Source organism: Homo sapiens, chromosome 16 (genome assembly GCF_000001405.40).
Source record: "Homo sapiens chromosome 16, GRCh38.p14 Primary Assembly".
NCBI lineage: Eukaryota > Metazoa > Chordata > Mammalia > Primates > Hominidae > Homo > Homo sapiens.
Genome location: NC_000016.10, coordinates 32,402,666 through 32,422,993, shown reverse-complemented (window position 1 = coordinate 32,422,993; position 20,328 = coordinate 32,402,666). Strand labels below are relative to the sequence as shown.

At 38.8% G+C, this 20,328-nt stretch overlaps 1 pseudogene; it reads right to left on the bottom strand.

Annotated features, from left to right (window-relative positions):
- SLC9B1P5 (solute carrier family 9 member B1 pseudogene 5) overlaps positions 1-20,328 on the bottom strand; it is a 48,235-nt pseudogene that overhangs the window by 13,372 nt on the left and 14,535 nt on the right.

Genomic DNA, 20,328 nt, shown 5'->3' with positions numbered 1-20,328 from the left:
GAGCCAGAGGCTGCATAACCCCTCAACTGTAATTTCTAATGTTATAGCTAATTTGTTTATCCCGCAAAGGCAGACTGGTTCCAGGCAAGAAGGGGATCTTTTTGGGAAATGGCTATTATCAACTTGGTTTGAGAGTCAAACCATGAACTGAATACCTTACCAAAATTAGTTCATCCTACTGCCAGGAATGAACAAGGACAGTTTAAATGCTAGAAGCAAGATGGAGTTGATTAAGTCTGATATCTTTTGCTGTCATAATTTCTTCAGTTATAATTTTTGCAAAGGCAGTTTCAATAACATCAAGCAGAAGAAAGAATCAGTGAAACAGAAGACTAGTCATTTGAAATTATGGAGTCAGAGGAGCAAACGGGAAAAGGAGTGAAGAGTGAAGACAGCCTAAGAGACTTACAGGATGCCATCAAGCAGACCAATGTATGCATTATGAAAGTACCAGAAGGAGAAGAGAAAAATAAAGGGGCAGAGAGCCAGTTAAAAAAGTAATGACCAAAAACTTCTCAAACTTAAAGAAGGAAATGGACATACAAATCCAAGAGGCTCAAAGAACTCCAAGTTGGATAATTTGCAAAAGACCTACAATAAGACACATTAGAATTTTGAAAGGAACAGGATCAAAGCAACTTGTCACATACAAGGGAGATGCCATATGGTTATCAATGGAATTCTCAGCAAAAACTCTACAGGCCAGAAGAGAATGGGATGATATATTAAAAGGGCTGAAAGAAAAAAAACTGTCAACCAAGAACTGTATAGCCAGTAAAACTGTACTTCAAAAATGAAGGACAAAGAGTTCCCCAGAGAAGTAAAAGGTGAGGGAGTTGATCACCACTAGGCCTACCTTACAAAAAACGTTAAAGGGAGTCCTCCAAGTGGAAATGAAAAGGCATTGGATAGAAATACAAAAGCATACAAAATATAAACTTCTTTGGTAAAGGTAAATATATGAGTGAACATAGAATCCTTTAATACTCTAATGGTGGTAAGCAAAACACTTTTTTTCCTTTACTTTTTTTTTTTTTTTTTTTTTTGAGACAAAGTCTTGCTCTGCTGCCCAGGCTGGAGTGCAGCGGTTTGATCATGGCTCACTGCAGCCTTGCAGTCCTAGGCTAAAGCAATCCTCCCACCTCAGCCTCCCGAGTGGCTGGGACTACAGACATGCACCACAACACTCAGATAATATTTTTAAATTTTTAGCAGAGATAAGGCCTTGCTGGTCTCAAACTCCGAGGCTCAAGCGATGCTCACATTTTGGCCTCTCAAAGTGCTGGGACTACAGATGTGAGACACCACACCCAGCCTGTAATTCACTTTTAATTGAAGCATAGAATTTAAAAGGTAAAAGCATAATATTACTGTATTAAATTATGTGAATAAACAATATAAAATATATATTGTGTGACATTGATAACAAAGTGAGAAGGAGGTGTAAAGAAGTAGAGTTTTTGTATGTTATTAAAGTTAAGTTGTTGTCAATTTAAAATAGATTATTATAACTATAAGATGTTTTCATGTAATTCTACAGTAACCACAAAGAAAAGACCTACAGAAGATACACAAATAAAAATGAGAAAGGAACCAAAGCACGTCCCTACCAAAAAAAGAAATCGGTGAAACATAAAGGGAGGCAGAAAGAGAGGAAAAGTGGAAAAAAATACCTGCAAGACATGTATAAAACAGTGAACAAAATGACAATAGTAAGCCCCTCCCTATCAGTAACTACTTTAAATGCAAATAGGCTAATTTTCCAATCAAAAGACAAAGAATTGGCCGAATGGATTAAAAAAATCTAAATATATACTATATGCAAGAGACTTATGTTAGATCTAAACACACACAAAGGTTGAAAGTGAAAGGATGGAAAAAGATATTCAATGCATTTGGTAACCAAAAGAGAACAAGGATGGCCATACTTAGACAAAATAGAGTTTAAGTCAAATAATAGCACAAGAGACAAGGATATTACATAATAATAAAAGGGCCAATTGACCAAGAAGATATAGCAATTATAAATGTATATGCAACTAACAGTACAGCATCTAAATATATGAAGCTAACGTAGACAGAATTGAGGGGTAACATAGATAACAACATCATAATAACAAAAAACTTCAATATTCCACTTTCAATTATGGATACAATAACCAGACAGAAGATCAACTGGAAAACACAGAACTTGAACAACATTGTAGACCAATTGGACCTGTCTGACATATACAGAACACTTCACCCAATAATAGCAAAATATGCTTTCTTCTCAAGTACATACCAAGACTTTTCCAGGATAGATGGCATGCTAGTCCACAAACAAGTTTTTAAAAATTTAAGAAAACTGAACTCATACCAAATATCTTTTCTGACCACATTAAATGAAATTACAAATTCATAGCAGAAGGAAAAAGGAAAAGTAATAAATATGTGGAAATTACAAAAATATACTCTCTACCAATTGGTCTGTGTGGTTAATATTAATTGTCAATTTGATTGAGGGATGCTCAGATGCCTGATGAAGCACTGTGTGTGGGTATATCTGTGAGGGTGTTGCCACAGGAGAATGATGGATGAGTTAGTGGACTGAGAGAGAAAAACCCATCCTCACTGTGGGTAGGCATCATGCAATTGGTTGCAAGTGTGACTAGAACAAAAAGGCAGAAGAATGGGAACATTCAGCTTGCTTGGATTTCTTTTTTATGCACTTTCTCTCTCTTCCAGAGCAGTATGCCTTTTTCTCCTCTTGCCCTTGCACATCAAACTCTAGGTTCTTTGGCCTTTGGACCCTGGGACTTGCATCAGCAGCCTTTTGGGAGCTCTCAGGCCTTGGGCCTCAGACTAGTGGCTGCACTGTCAGCTTCCCTGGTTTTGAGACTTTCAGATTTGGACTGAGCCATGTCACTGGCTTCCTTGGGAGCCATGCTGTAAGCTTCTCTCATTTTCCAGCTTATAGATGGCCTATTGTGGGACTTTGCCTTTGTAATTATGTGAGCCAATTCTCCTTAATAAATTATATTTCATATACATGTAAATATATTCTCTTTTAGATGCATGTATATGTATCTCTATTATCTATTATCTATATCTATATCTATATCTATATCTATATCTATTTCTTATTGGATCTGACCCTCTGGAGAACTCTGATTAATACATAGTCAAAGAACAAGTCACAAGGAAAATTAGAAAATGTCTTGAGACAAATAAAAATGGAAACACAACATTCCAAAGCTTGTGGGATGCAGCAAAATGAATATGAAGAGGACAGTTTATATATCTAACTACCTACCTTAAAAAAGAAGAAAGATCTGAAATCAGCAACTTAACTTTACACCTCACGAAACTGGAAAAAGAAGAACTCAACCCAATGTTAGCAAAAGGAAGGAAATAATAAAGTCTAGAGCAGAAGGCCGGGTGCAGTGGCTCATGACTGTAATCCCAGCACTTTGGGAAGCTGAGGCAGGTGGATCACCTGAGGTCGGGAGTTCAAGACCAGCCTCAGCAACATGGAGAAACCTGTCTCTACTAAAAAATACAAAATTAGCCGGGCATGGTGGTGCATGCCTGTAATCCCAGCTACTCTGGAGGCTGAGGCAGGAGAGTCACTTGAACTGGGAGGCGGAGGTTGAAGCAAGCGGAGATCACGCCATTGCACTACAGCGTGGGCAATAAGAGTGAAACTCCATCTCAAAAAAAAAAAGGCTAGAGAATAGAAAAAACCCAATGAAACTAGTAGTCGTTTCAAAGTTCAACAAAATTGACAAATCATTAGCTAGAATATTTAAGAAAAAAAATAATGAAGACTCAACTTCTTTTAGGAACAAAAGAGAAGACACTGCAACAGATATTTACAGAAATAAAAACGATTCTAAGAGTCTACTATGAATTATTATATACTGACTAGTTGGATAACCTAGGAGAAATGAACAGATTCCTAGTAACATGCAAGTTACCAAGACTAAGTCACAAAATAAAAAATCTTAATAAACCTATAACTAGTAGTGAATCAGGAATCAAAAACCTCCCAGCAAACCAAATACCTGATAAGGGGTTAATATCTAAAATATATACAGAACAACAACTCAATAACAAAACAACCTAAATGAGAAATGGTCAGTTGACTTTGCTATGGTCCAAATGTTCTCCCAATATTCATATGCTGGAGCCTAATATTCAATGTGATAATATTAAGAGGTGGAGCATTTTGGATATGATTAGTTCATGAAGTCATAGCCCTCAGAAATGGGACTAGGGCCTTTATAAAAGAGGCTTAAGGGAGTTTGTTTTCCCTTTTGAACATGTGAGGACACAGAGAAGGTGCTATGTATAGTGAATGTAGTGACCTCACCGGTCACTGAGTCTGTTGTAGCCTAAATCTTGGACTTTTCACACTCCAGAATGCAAGAAATAAATTTCTGTTGTTTATAAATTACCAGCCTAAGGTATTTTGTTATAGCAGCAGAAATGGACTAAGATAGACTTGAATAGACATTTTTTCCAAAAAAAAAAAAAAATACAAATGGCCAACTAGCATATCAACCCAACACTACGTGGAAGCTGCCAAGCCTTGGGGATTGAACTCTGAAGCAATAGCCTGAGCTGTACGTTGGCTCCTTTTAGCCATGGCTGGGACACAGGGCACCAAGTCCCAAGACTGCACAGAGCAGCAAAGTTCTGGGCCTGGCCCACATAACCATTTTTTCCCTCCTAGGCCTCCAACCCTGTGACAGGAGGGGCTGTCGTGAAGAACTCTGACATGCCCTGGAGAAAATTTCCCCATTATCTTGTCAATTAACATTTGGCTCCTTGTTACTTCTGCAAATTTCTGCAGTAAGCTTGAATTTCTCCCCAGAAAATGGGTTTTCTTTTCTATCACATCATCAGGTTGCAAATCTTCCAAACTTTTATGCTCTGCTCCCTTTTAAACATAGGTTCTAATTCCAAACCATATTTTTGTGAATGCATAAAACTGAACACTTTTAAGAACACTCAGGTCATAAATTGAACACTTTGCTGCTTACAAATTTCTTCTACCAGATGTTCTGGATGGGTTCCAAGATGGCCAAATAGGAAGAGTTCCGGTCTGCAGCTCCCAGCATGATCGACACAGAAGACGGGTGATTTCTGCACTTCCAACTGAGGTTCCTGGTTCATCTCATTGGGACTGGTTGGAGAGTGGGTGCAGGCCCACAGAGGGTGAGCTGAAGCAAGGTGGGGCGTCGCCTCACCCGGGAAGCACAAGGGGTTGGGGGATTTCCCTTTCCCAGCCAAGGGAAGCTGTGACAGACTACCTGGAAAAACAGGGCACTCCCGCCCAAATACTGCACTTTTCCCAAGGTCTTAGCAACTAGCAGGCAAGGTGATTCTCTCCTGTGCCTCACTCAGTAGGTCCCACAGCCATGGAGCCTTGCTCACTGCTAGCGAAACAGTCTGAAATCCATCTGCGAGGTGGCAGTCTGGTTGGGGGAGGGGCGTCAACCATTGCTGAGGCTTAAGTAGGTAAACAAAGCGGCCAGGGAACTTGAACTGGGTGGAGCCCACCGCAGCTCAACAAGGCCCATTGCCTCTAGACTCCACGTCTGTGGGCAGGGATAGCTGAACAAAAGGCAGCAACTTCTGCAGACTTAAACGTCCCTGTCTGACAGCTCTGAAGAGAGCAGTGGTTTTTCCAGCATGGCGTTTGAGTTCTGAGAATGGACAGACTGCCTCCTCAAGTGGGTCCCTGAACCCTGTGTAGCCTAACTGGGACACACCTCCCAGTAGAGGCTGACAGACACCTCATATAGGCAGCTGCCCCTCTTGGACAAAGCTTCCAGAGGAAGGATCAGGCAGCACTATTTGCTATTCTGCAATATTTGCTGTTCTGCAGCCTCCACTGGTGATACCCAGGCAAACAGTGTCTGGAGTGGAACTCCAGCAAACTCCAACAGATCTGCAGCTGAGGGTCCTGACTGTTAGAAGGAAAACTAAAAAACAGAAAGGAATAGTGTCAACATTAACAAAAGATCATCTACACCAAAACCCCATCTGTAGGTCAACAATATCAAAGACCAAAGGTAGATAAAACCAAAAGGATGGGGATAAACCAGAGCAGAAAAGCTGAAAATTCTAAAAATCAGAGCACCTCTTCGCCTCCAAAGGATCACCACTCCTTGTCAGCAATGGAACAAAGCTGGACAGAGAATGACTTTGATGAGTTGACAGAAGTAGGCTTCAGAAAGTTGGTAATAACAAACTTCTCCGAGCTAAAGGAGGATGTTGGAACCCATTGCAAGGAAGTTAAAAACCTTGAAAAAGATTAGACGAATGGCTTACAAGAATAAACAGTGTAGAGAAGACCTTAAGTGACCCAATGGAGCTGAAAACCATGGCACAAGAACTTTATGACTCATGCACAAGCTTCAATAGCCGATTCAATCAAGTGGAAGAAAGGGTATCAGTGATTGAAGTCAAATAAATGAAATAAAGTGAGAAGACAAGGTTAGAGAAACAAGAGTAAAAAGAAATGAACAAAGCCTCCAAGAAATATGGGACTATGTGAAAAGACCAAATCTATATTTGATTGGTGTACCGGAAAGTGATGAGGAGAATGGAACCAAGTTGGAAAACACTCTTCAGGATATTATCCAGGAGAATTTCCCCAACCTAGCAAGGCAGGCCAACATTCAACTTCAGGAAATACAGAGAACAACACAAAGATACTCTTTGAGAAGAGCGATTCCAAGACACATAATTGTCAGATTCACCAAGGTTGAAGTGTAGGAAAAAGTGTTAAGGGCAGCCAGAGAGAAAGGTCAGGTTAGCCACAAAGGGAAGCCCATCAGACTAACAGCTGATCTCTTGGCAGAAACCCTACAATCCAGAAGAGAGTGGGGGCCAATATTCAACATTCTTAAAGAAAATAATTTTCAATCCAGAGTTTCATATCCAGCCAAACTAAGCTTCATAAGTGAAGGAGAAAATAAAATTCTTTACTGACAAGCAAATGCTGAGAGATTTTGTCACCACCAGGCCTGCCTTACAAGAGCTCCTGAAAGAAGCACTAAACATGGAAAGAAACACCTGGTACCACCCAGTGCAAAAACATGCCAAGTTGTAAAGACCATCAATGCTAGGAAGAAACTGCATCAATTAATGGGCAAATAACCAGCGAATATCATAATGACAGGATCAAATTCACACATAACAATATTAACTGTAAATGTAAATGGGCTAAATGCCCCAATTAAAGGACACAGACTGGCAAATTGGATAAAGGGTCAAGACCCATCAGTGTGCTGTATTCAGGAGACCCATCTCATGCGCAAATTCACACATAGGCTCAAAATAAAGGGATGGAGGAAGATCTACCAAGAAAATGGAAAACAAAAAAAGGCAGGGGTTGCAATCCTTGTCTCTGATAAAACAGACTTTAAACCAACAAAGATCAAAAGAGACAAAGAAGGCCATTACATAATGGTAAAGGGATCAATGCAACAAGAAGAGCTAACTATCCTAAATATATATGCACCCAATACAAGAGCACCCAGATTCATAAAGCAAGTCCTTAGAGACCTACAAAGAGGCTTAGACTCCCACACAATAATAATGGGAGACTTTAACACCCAACTGTCAATATTAGAAAGATCAACAAGACAGAAGGTTAACAAAGATATCCAGGACCTGAACTCAGCTCTGCAACAAACAGACCCAATAGACATCCACAGAACTCTCCACCCCAAATTAACAGAGTATACATTCTTCTCAGCACCACATCTCACTTATTCTAAATTTGACCACATAATTGGAAGTAAAGCACTCCTCACCAAATGTAAAAGAACAGAAATCACAACAAACTGTCTCTCAGACCACAGTGCAATCAAATTCAAACTTAGGATTAAGAAGCTCACTCAAAACTGAACAACTACATGGAAACTGAACAATTTGCTCCTGAATGACTACTGGGTAAATAACAAAATGAAGGTAGAAATAAAGATGTTCTTTGAAACCAATGAGAACAAAGACACAATGTACCAGAATCTCTGGGACACATTTAAAGCAGTGTGTAGGGGGAAATTTATAGCACTAAATGCCCAGAAGAGAAAGCAGGAAAGATCTGAAATTGACCACCTAACATCAAAATTAAAAGAACTAGAGAAGCAAGAGCAAACACATTCAAAAGCTAGCAGAAGGCAAAAAATAAGATCAGAGCAGAGCTGAAGGAGACAGAGACACAAAAAACCCTTCAAAAAAGCAATGAATCCAGGAGCTGGTTTTTTGAAAAGATCAACAAAATTGATAGACTGCTAGCAAGACTAATAAAGAAGAAAAGAGAGAGGAATCAAATAGATGCAATAAAAATGACAAAGGGGATATCACCACTGAGCCCAGGGAAATAAAAACTACCATCAGAGAATACTATAAACACCTCTACACAAATAAACTTGAACATCTAGAAGAAATGGATAAATTCTTGGACACATACACCCTTTCAAGACTAAACCAAGAAGAAGTTGAATCTCTGAATAGACCAATAACAGGCTCTGAAATTGAGGCAATAATTAATAGCTTACCAACCAAAAAAAAGTCCAGGACCAGATGGATTCACAGCTGAGTTCTACCAGAGGTACAAAGAGGAGCTGGTACCATTCTTTCTGAAACTTTTCCAATCAATAGAAAAAGACAGAATCCTCCCTAATTCATTTTATGAGGCCAACATCATCCTGATACCAAAGCCTGACAGAGACACAACAACAAAAAAAGAGAATTTTAGACCTATATCCCTGATGAACATTGATGCAAATATCCTCAATAAGATAGTAACAAACTGAATCCAGCAACACATCAAAAAGCTTATCCACCATGATCAAGTTGGCATCTCTAGGATGCAAGACTGGTTCAACATATGCAAATCAATAAACGTAATCCATCATATAAACAGAACCAAAGACAAAAACCACATGATTATCTTAATAGATGCAGAAAAGGCCTCTGACAAAATTCAACAGCCCTTCATGCTAAGAACTCTCAATAAACTAGGTATTGATGGGACGTATCTCAAAATAATAAGAGCTATTTATGACAAACCCACAGCCAATATCATACTGAATGGACAATAACTGGAAGCATTCCCTTTGAAACCTGGCACAAGACAAGGATTCCCTCTCTCACCACTCCTATTCAACATAGTCTTGGAAGTTCTGGCCAGGGCAATCAGGCAAGAGAATGAAATAAAATGTATTCAACTAGGAAAAGAGGAAGTCAAATTGTCCCTGTCTGCAGATGACATGATTGTATATTTACAAAACCCCATCATCTCAGCCCAAAATCTCCTTAAGCTGATAAGCAAATTCAGCAAAGTCTCAGGATACAAAATCAATGTGCAAAAATCACAAGCATTCTTATACACCAATAACAGACAAACAGAGAGCCAAATCATGAGTGAACTCCCATCCACAATTGCTTCAAAGAGAATAAAATACCTAGGAATCCAACTTACAGGGGATGTGAAGGGCCTCTTCAAGGAGAACGACAAACCACTGCTCAACAAAATAAGAGGACACAAACAAATGGAAGAACATTCCATGCTCATGGAAAGGAAGAATCAATATCGTGAAAATGGCCATACAGCCAAAGGTAATTTATAGATTCAATGCCATCCCCATCAAGCTACCAATAACTTTCTTCACAGAATTGGAAAAAAACAACTTTAAAGTTCATATGGAACCAAAAAAGAACCTGCATTGCCAAGTCAATCCTAAGCAAAAAGAACAAATCTGGAGGCATCACGCTACCTGACTTCAAACTACACTACAAGGCTACAGTAACCAAAACAGCATGGTACTGGTGCCAAAACAGAGATACAGACCAATGGAACAGAATAGAGCCCTCGGAAATAATACCACACATCTACAACCATCTGATCTTTGACAAACCTGACATAAACAAGAAATGGGGAAAGGATACCCTATTTAATAAATGGTGCTGGGAAAACTGGCTAGCCATATGTGGAAAGCTGAAACTGGATCCCTTCCTTACACCTTATATAAAAATTAATTCAAGATGGATTAAAGACTTAAATGTTAGACCTAAAACCATAAAAACCCTAGAAGAATACCTAGGCAATACCATTCAGGACATAGGCATGGGCAAGGAATTCATGACTAAAACACCAATAGCAATGGCAACAAAAGCCAAAATTGACAAATGAGATCTAATTAAATTCAAGAGCTTCTGCACAGCAAAAGAAACTACCATCAGAGTGAACAGACAACCTACAGAATGGGAGAAAATTTTTACAATCTACCCATCTGACAAAGGGCTAATATCCAGAATCTACAAAGAACTTAAACAAATTTATATGAAAAAATCAAACTACCCCATCAAAAATTGGGTAAAGGATATGAACAGACACTTCTCAAAAGAAGACATCTATGCAGCCAACAGACACATGAAAAAATGCTCATCATCACTCGCCATCAGAGAAATGCAAATCAAAACCACAATGAGATACCATCTCACACCAATTAGAATGGCGATCATTAAAAAGTCAGGAAACAACAGGTGCTGGAGAGGATATGGAGAAATAGGAATGCTTTTACACTGTTGGTGGGAGTGTAAACTAGTTCAATCATTGTAGAAGACAGTGTGTCAATTCCTCAAGGATCTAGAACAAGAAATACCATTTCAATCAGCCATCCCATTACTGGGCATATACCCAAAGGATTGTGAATCATGCTGCTATAAAGACACATGCACACATATGTTTATTGCGGCACTATTCGCAATAGCAAAGACTTGGAACCAACCTAAATGTCCATCAACGATAGACTGGATTAAGAAAATGTGGCACATATACACCAAGGAATACTATGCAGCCATAAAAAGGATGAGTTCATGTCCTTTGTAAGGACATGGATGAAGCTAGAAACCATCATTCTGAGAAAACTATCGCAAAGACAGAAAACTAAACACCATGTGTTCTTACTCATAGGTGGGAATTGAACAATGAGAACACTTGGACACAGGGTGGGGAGCATCACACACTGGGGCCTGTCATGGAGTGGGGGGAGGGGGGATAGCATTAGGAGATATATCTAATGTAAATGACGAGTTAATGGGTGCAGCACACCAACATGACACATGTATACATATGTAACAAACCGGCACATTGTGCATATGTACCCTAGAACTTAAAGTATAATAATAGAAAAACTATGACACTCTCCTACATACCATATCTGTACAAAAATTATAAATTTTAGATAACCATCCAGAGATATTTCTCTAATTCTTGGAAAAAATATCAACATTGAAAACATCAAAAAAATTAAACAGTTCTTTCTTCATCCAAAAAAAAAAAAAAAGAACGATATGGAATCCTCCCTAACTCATTTTATGAGGCCAGCATCATCCTGGTACCAAAGCCTGGCAGAGACACAACAAAAAAAGAGAATTTTAGACCAATATCCCTGATGAACATCGATGCGAAAATCCTCAGTAAAATACTGGCAAACCAAATCCAGCAGCACATCAAAAAGCTTATCCACCACGATCAAGTGGGCTTCATCCCTGGGATGCAAGGCTGGTTCAACATATGCAAATCAATAAATGTAATCCATTACATAAACAGAACCAAAGACAAAAACCACATGATTATCTCAATAGATGCAGAAAAGGCCTCTGACAAAATTCAACACTCCTTCATGCTAAAAACTCTCAATAAACTAGGTATTGATGGGACGTATCTCAAAATAATAAGAGCTATTTATGACAAACCCACAGCCAATATCATACTGAATGGGCAAAAACTGGAAGCATTCCTTTTGAAAACTGGCACAAGACAAGGATGCCCTCCCTCACCACTCTTATTCAACATGGTGTTGGAAGTTCTGAAAAGTGGAATCAGGCAGGAGAAAGAAATAAATTGTATTTAGTTAGGAAAAGATGAAGTCAAATTGTCCCTATTTGCAGATGACATGATTGTATATTTAGAAAACCCCATCATCTCAGCCCAAAGTCTCCTTAAGCTGATAAGCAACTTCAGCAAAGTCTCAGGATACAAAATCAACGTGCCAAAATCACAAGCATTCCTATACACCATTAATAGACAAACAGAGAGCCAAATCATGAGTGAACTCCCATTCACAATTGCTACAAAGAGAATAAAATACCTAGGAATCCAACTCACAAGGGTTGTGAAGGACCTCTTCAAGGAGAACTACAAACCACTGCTCAATGAATTAAAAGAGGACACAAACAAATGGAAGAATATTCCACGCTCATGGATAGGAAGAATCAATATCATGAAAAAGACCATACTGCACAAAGTAATTTATAGATTCAATACCATCCCCATCAAGCTTCTAATGACTTTCTTCACAGAATTGGAAAAAGAAACTACTTTAAAGTTCATATGGAACTAAAAAAGAGCCTGCATTGCCAAGACAATCCTAAGCAAAAAGAACAAAGCTGGAGGCATCACACTACCTGACTTCAAACTATACTACAAGACTACAGTAACCAAAACAGCATGGTACTGGTGCCAAAACAGATATATAGACCAATGGAACAGAACAGAGGCCTCAGAAATAAGACCACACATCTACAGCCATCTGATCTTTGACAAACCTGACAAAAACAAGAAATGGGGAAAGGATTGCCTATTTAATAAATGATGCTGGGAAAACTGGCTAGCCATATGTAGAAAGCTGAAACTGGATCCCTTCCTTACATCTTATACAAAAATTAATTCAAGATGGATAAAAGACTTAAATGTTAGACCTAAAACCATAAAAACCCTAGAAGAAAACCTAGGCAATACCATTCAGGCCATAGGCATGAGCAAGGACTTCATGACTAAAACACCAAAAGCAATGGCAACAAAAGCCAAAATTGACAAATGGGATCTAATTAAACTAAGGAGCTTCTGTACTGCAAAAGAAACTGCCATCAGAATGAACCAGGCAACATACAGAATGGGAGATAAATTGCAATCTACCCATTTGACAAAGAAAGAATTCAAACAAATTTACAAGAAAAAAACAACCCCATCAAAAAGTGGGCAAACATATGAATAGACGATTCTCAAAAGAAGACATCTATGCAGCTAACAAACACAAGAAAAAAAGCTCATCATCACTGGTCATCAAAGAAATGCAAATCAAAACCACAATGAGATACCATCCCACCCCAGTTAGAATGTCAATCATTAAAAAGTCAGGAAACAACAGATGCTGGAGAGGATATGGAGAAATAGGAATGCTTTTACACTGTTGGTGGGAGTGTAAACTAGTTCAACCATTGTGAAAGACATTGTGGCAATTCCTCGAGGATCTAGAACTAGAATTACCATTTGACCCAGCAATCCCATTACTGGATATATATCCAAAGGATTATAAATCATGCTACTATAAAGACATATGCACATGTATGTTTATTGTGGCACTATTAACAATAGCAAAGACTTGGAACCAACCCAAATGTCCATTAATGATGGACTGGATTAAGACATGTGACACATATACACCATGGAATACTATGCAGCCATAAAAAAGGATGAGTTCATGTCCTTTGCAGGGAGATAGATGAAGCTGGAAACCATCATTCTCAGCAAAACTATCACAAGGACAGAAAACCAAACACCACATGTTCTCACTCATAGATGGGAATTGAACAATGAGATCACTTAGACACAGGGCTGGGAACATCACACACTGGGGCCTGTTGGGGGGTGGAGGGCTGGGGGAGGGAGAGCATTAGGAGAAATACTTAATGTAAATGATGAGTTGATGGGTGCAGCAAACCAACATGGCACATGTGTACCTATGTATCAAACCTGCACGTTGTGCACATGTACCCTAGAACTTAAGGTATAACAACAACAACAACAACAACAAACATTTCTTCTACCAGATGTCCTCAGTCATCTCTCTCATTTTCAAAGTTCCATAAATCTGTAGGGCAGGGGCAAAATGCCACCATTCTCTTTGCTAAAGCATAGCAGGAGTGACCTTTACTTCAGTTCCCAACAAGTTGTTCATCTCCATCTCTGACCTCCTCAGCCTGGACTTCACTGTCCAAGTCACTATCAGCAGTTTGGTCAAAGCCATTCAACAAGTCTCTAGGCAGTTCCAAACTTTCCCACATCTTCTGGTCTTCTTCTGAGTCCTCTCAACTGTTCCAAACTCTGCACATTACACAGTTCCAAAGTCACTTCCACATTCTCAGGTATCTTATAGCAATACTCCATTACCTCAGTATCAAAATCTGTACTAGTCATGGTTCTCTAGAGGGATAGAACTAGTAGGAGATATATATATATATATATATATATATATATATATATATATATATATATATATATATATATATATATATGAAAGGGAGTTTATTAAGGAGAATTGAATCACACCATCACAAAGTGAAGTCCTACAACAGGCCGTCTGCAAGTTGAGGAGCAAGGAATCTAGTATTGGCTTAGTCCGAGTCCCAACACCTCAAAAGTAGGGAAACCGACAGGCCAGCTTTGAGTCTCTGGATGAAGGCCTGAGAGCCCCTGGAAAACAACTGGAGTAAGTCCAAGAGTCCAAAAGCCAAAGAACCTGGAGTCTGATATTTGAGTGCAGGAAGCATCCAGCATGGGAGAAAGATGAGGGCCAGAAGGCTCAGCAAGTCAGCTTCTCCTAACCTTCTTCTGCCTGCTTTATTCGAGCCATGCTGGCAGCTGATTTTATGGTGCCCACCCACATTGAGGGTGGATCTGCCTTTCCCAGTCCACTAAATAAATGTTAATCTCCTTTGGCAACACCCTCACAGACACAACCGGGAACAATAATTTGGATCCTTCAATCCAATCAAGTTGACACTTACTTAATATTAAACTTCACAATGTAATATTCATCCCATTTGTAATTTTTCTTTAATATACAAGCTCGTTGAGAACATGCACCATTTGATCTTGTCTCTCTGTTGTGTTGGGAGGCAGTGGAGAAGAGAAGAGTTAAATGTGTGGGTGTGGAGTGAGACTGTCAGATTTGCATCTTGGCTCCCCTACTTATTGGATCTCTGTCCTTGAGTAAATTACTTAACATCTTTCTCAGTTTCCTTACCTGTAAATGAGTGGTGACATATATGGAACTTAGAACAAGAGCCAAGCAAGTATTCAATAAAAGCTAATGTTGTTGTCTACTGTTCATTCTCAGTGTTTGGCATAGTAGCCAGCAAAAGGAAGAGGATTTTTTTTTTTTTATTTTTTTCAGACAGTCTCCCTCTGTCACCCAGGCTGGAGTGCCATGGTGTGATCTTGGCTCACTGTAACCTCTGCCTCTTGGGTTCAAGTGATTCTTGTGCCTCAGCCCCCTGAGTAGCTGGGATTACAGGCCTGTGCTACCATACCCAGCTAACTTTTTGTATTTTTAGTGGAGATGGAGCTTTGCTATGTTGGCCAGGCTGGTCTTGAACTCATGTCCTCAAGTGATCCACCCGCTTTGGCCTCCCAAAGTGTTGGGATTATAGGCGTGAGCCATTGGGCCCAGCCTGGAAATATTTTTTTGAAACATGACTGATAACAATATTTTTTGAAAGAATGACAGATACCAATCATGAAGGAAAAGATTTTGACAAATGACAATAAAAAACTTTAACTTCTGAATGGTAAAAAGAGTGAGAAAATTAAAAGCCAAATTACAAATTGAAAAAACTAAAGTATATAAAACAAAGGTTTTCATTCTCAATTTAATGCAGAATCTTGACAAATCAAAAAGAAAAAAAGGTGAACCCACCTAAAAGAAATAGGCAAAAAACTTTCAAGAAAAGCAGTTTACAAAATGCCAATGACTAATAAACATGGATATTTAACATCACTAGTATTCAAAGTACTTCATTTACAGAGATCCCTCCTTCACCTATCAAATTAGCAAAGATGAAAAAGGCTAGTAATACCAAGTTTTGAAGAGAGGTGAGAGGAAATGACAAGTTTATGTACCCTGGTAGGACATGATATTGTGGCAATATGTTTCAGAACACTCATAAACATATACACCTTTTAGATCAACAATTGCACTTTTAAGCTTAAGAAAATATGAAGATTAGGTACAAATATTTCTCTATATGTTCAACTAAGTATTATTTTTTTAAGTAAAAAAAACTTTTTGAGACAGAGTCTCACTCTGTTGCCCAGGCTGGATAGCTCACTACAGCCTCCGCCTCCTGGGTTCAAGTGATTCTTCTGCTTCAGCCTCCTGAGTAGCTGGGATTACAGATGCCCACCACCATGCCCGGCTAAGTTTTGTATTTTTAGTGGAGACGGGGTTTCACCATGTTGGTTGGCCAGGCTGGTCTTGAACTCCTGACCTCAAGTGATCCACCCTTCTTGGCCTCCCAAAATGCTGGGATTATAGGTGTGAGCCACCATGCCCGGCCAATTTTTTAATTTAAAAAAATATTTTTATAGCAGCACAACTAAGCATTATTTTAATAGTAAATATTGGAGTTAACTTTAATTTTGAACAGGATGAGTAATCATGATGCAGCACATTGAATACTCTTTCATTAAGCTAAACAACTATTTAAAATGATATACAAATACATTTACTGAAAAGAAACATGTTTGTGATATACAGTTAAGTGTAAAACAATTCAGGTTATAAGAACATATTAGGCTGGGTGTGATGGCTCACACCTGTAATCCCAGCACTTTGGGAGGCCGAGGCAGGTGGATCACGAGGTCAGGAGATCAAGACCATCCTGGCTAACACGGTGAAGCCCTGGATCTACTAAAAACACACAAAAAATTAGCCGGGCGTGGTGGTGGGCGCCTGTAGTCCCAACTACTTGGGAGGTTGAGGCAGGAGAATGGCATGAACCCGGGAGGCAGAGCATGCAGTGAGCTGAGATTGTGCCACTGCACTCCAACCTGGGTGACAGAGCAAGACTCCGCCTCAAAAAAAAAAAAATAAAAGAACATATTGGTCAATATTCACTGATTTTTATAAGAATATTTGACAGAGAAAGAGGGGTAAGGGAAGGGAAGGGGGAGGAGAGGGGAAGGGAAGGGAAGGGATGAAGGGAAGAAGGGAAGGGAAGGGAATATGGGTGGGTTTATATCAAAAGGTTCAGAAGGAAATGATTCTTTTCTTCTGGATGTGACTATTGCAGATTTGATTTTTAACTTTTCCTCTTTTTCTTATTTATTTATATTTTCTTATTTTAAGAGAAACTATAAAACTATATATATTACTTTTCAACTTAAAAATAGTTTAGTGCTTCAATAATACAGAAGACTCAAACATTGCAGATAATTAAAGCATTACTTAATGTGGAAATATTTAGTTTCACAATTTCTGTAGTGATATTCAAGACCAGATATCACCTTGGGAATCAGAACTGGTGCAGGATCTTGTCCTAACACTACTAAAAAGGCATATGGTTGTCCCAGCTCTGTATGTTTATGTCGTCTTATAATAGAGCAACCATTTGTTTATTAGGATGGCCAAAAAGGCACATTTCAAAAATGCCTATTAAAATATTAGTAGTACAAATAATACTGCTGCTTAATTTTTTCTAGTGAGAACTGATAAAATTCAAAAGCAACATAAGCAGATAAATAGTAATAATATGGTTTATCAAATTAATTGTCACATGATTATTAAAGTGAGATCATGTGTGTTAAGTAGTGGTATCTTAAGCCACTGAAATATCTTCCTTGGTCTGGAATGAGCTTTCTATGGAGATTAAAAAGATGTTAAATTGAACAGTCTTGGTTAATAAATGAAGAAGCAAAGCCAGAAACCCTGTTTAAAGAACTAACAAAAAAGGTCATGAATGATCTGGTGGTTGTTATATTTTCTTGTTTACCCGAGGAGAAGACTATGCTCAAGCATGTATTGAATCCAGTGATAACCAGAATGTCATCCATACTGCTAGCAGCCATTAGTAAGGTTGGAATGTCTTCCTCAGCACCATATCCATTTTCTTGCAACACCATCGTGTAAAGGACAACAACAGCAAGAGAGACAGCACCTAGAACAAAACTGAAAGAAAGAATGAAAATTAATTTAAAAGCATCTTTTTAATCAAGTAGTGTTTTATAAGTACAAGTAGTTTATAATAAATGTATAACAAACATTGTTTAGAAGAATTTCAAATTTGAGTGAATGCAATTTAATGGTGATAAAACTTTTCATGCATTGTTTAGTGCTGGCTAAAATTTTATACAGACGTGGTTTAAAATGTTGGGCTGAGCACAGGTTGCAGCCTCTCCCTCCATTCCTAAATCCTTTGAAGTGAAGATGTAAAGTCATAGAAAAATTCATAACCTAACTAGAAAGCAAAAGGTGAATCATCAATGGACAAGAAACTAAGTATATGCCAGAAAGATAAGTGACAGACAATTTAGCATTGAAAAAAGGAAACCATAAACCAAAATGTGTGTAAATAAGATTGCCTCAAAAGATACATGTGCTTCTAAAAGTGGTCCAAGCCCTGAAATGACAGATGCTGGGAGCAGGAGAGACCTCCGGGGAAACCAAATAGTTGATTATTTGGAGTAGCACTGTAAGAATGGTCAGACAAATCTACCTTCCACACATTTCCTACCTCTTGAGTAAATAAGTAAGTAAGGAAGGAAGGAACAGAGTTGTCTGCCCAAAAAAACAAGTGTGGCCACCTAAGTTACAAAGGCAAATGAGAACATTTCTGGAGTGGTTGATGACACCCATGAGGAATGGGGAGGCTCCTGCTCAGAATACCTTCTATTGGCATATCTTATCCAGAATTTCACCTCATCTCTTCTACATTTACTTTATAAAGTGTGAAGTATATCCTGTGTAAAAATGCTTTTGGTGCTCCTGCCAGAATCCATTTACCAGGTCAATGAACACATCTCCCAGTGCTTCTTGTTGGCTGCTATTATCTGCAGGTTTCTAGAACCCTTGTCCTGCTGACAAGCACCTACCTGGGAATACTAGAGAGGTTGTGCACCCCTCTACTTTCCCTCCAGGCAGCATCTGCCAATGACGGACTGATGTGAGATTTGCTTCCGGCTGTACAACTCTATGGCACAGTTTATGCTACAGATTTCCCTGTGGGCTCAAGAAGAGACTAGACTTCTCTAAGACCACATACTGGTCTAGTTCAGTGGTTCCTGAACTCTGCTGCACATTGTAATCACCTGTTGTATTATTTTTCTCATTTTGCTTAACAAGTCATCCCCAAACATAGCAGCTTAAAACAACAAATATTTATTGTCTTATGCTTCTGTGGGTCAGGAATCTGGGCATGGCTTAGCTGTATGCCTTGACTTAAGTTTTCCCATGAGGTAGGGTGGGGTGGAGAAGATCTGCTTCCAAGTTTACTCATGTAGCCATTGCAGGCTTCAGTTTTTTCCAATGGGGTTTTCTCCACAGGGCTGCCTCAGGACATGGCAGCTGGCTTCCCCAGGAATAAGTGATCAAAGAGAATTTAATCCACAACATCAATTAAAAACATAAAGTATCTAAGAACAAAACTGTGAAGACAGTCTATACTTTTATAAAAATTGTGAATATAATAATATAATAATTAAGATAATACCTGAATACTTAGAGAGACATTTCACAAGTGTGAACTAAAAAGCCCCAATTTTACCATTGCCCAACACCACGCCTGGCTAGTTTTTGTGTTTTTAGTAGATACAGTGTTTCGCCATTTTGGCCAGGCTGGTCTTGAACTCCTGACCTCAGGTGATATGCCTGCCTTGGCCTCCCAAAGTGCTGGGATTATAGGTGTGAGCCACCATGCCCAGCCAAAGCCTCAATAATATAAAGATGTAATCTCTCCCCCAAATGAATTAATCAGAGATACACCAATCAAAATCTTTGCAGGGATTGTTACTGAGCTTGACAAGCTGATTATAAAATTCATTTGGAAGAATAAGACCTTAGAACGAAAGATCAAGTAAACTTAAGAAAACCAGATACTGTTTTTGTAAAGGTGAAATAGTTAAAACTGAATAATAGTGACATATAAATAGACAAAATAAATTGGAAGAAAAGAGAATACAAAGTGTGGAAACAAATCTATGGGATTTGTTACATCATAAATTGGTATTTTAAATCAGTGGGAGAAAGAAAGAAATCTTTCACAAATGGTGTTGAGATAACTATTTATGTGGAAAGGAATATAGATAGATCCTTACACATAATAACTGTTAAAAGCTCAAAAGGAAAAGTAGTAATAAGAAAATGTAGTGGGCTAGGCGTGACGGCTCACACCTGTAATCCCAGCACTTTGGGAGGCTGAGGCGGACAGATCAGGAATCTGAGACCAGCCTGGCCAACATGGCAAAACCAATAGCTGGGTGCA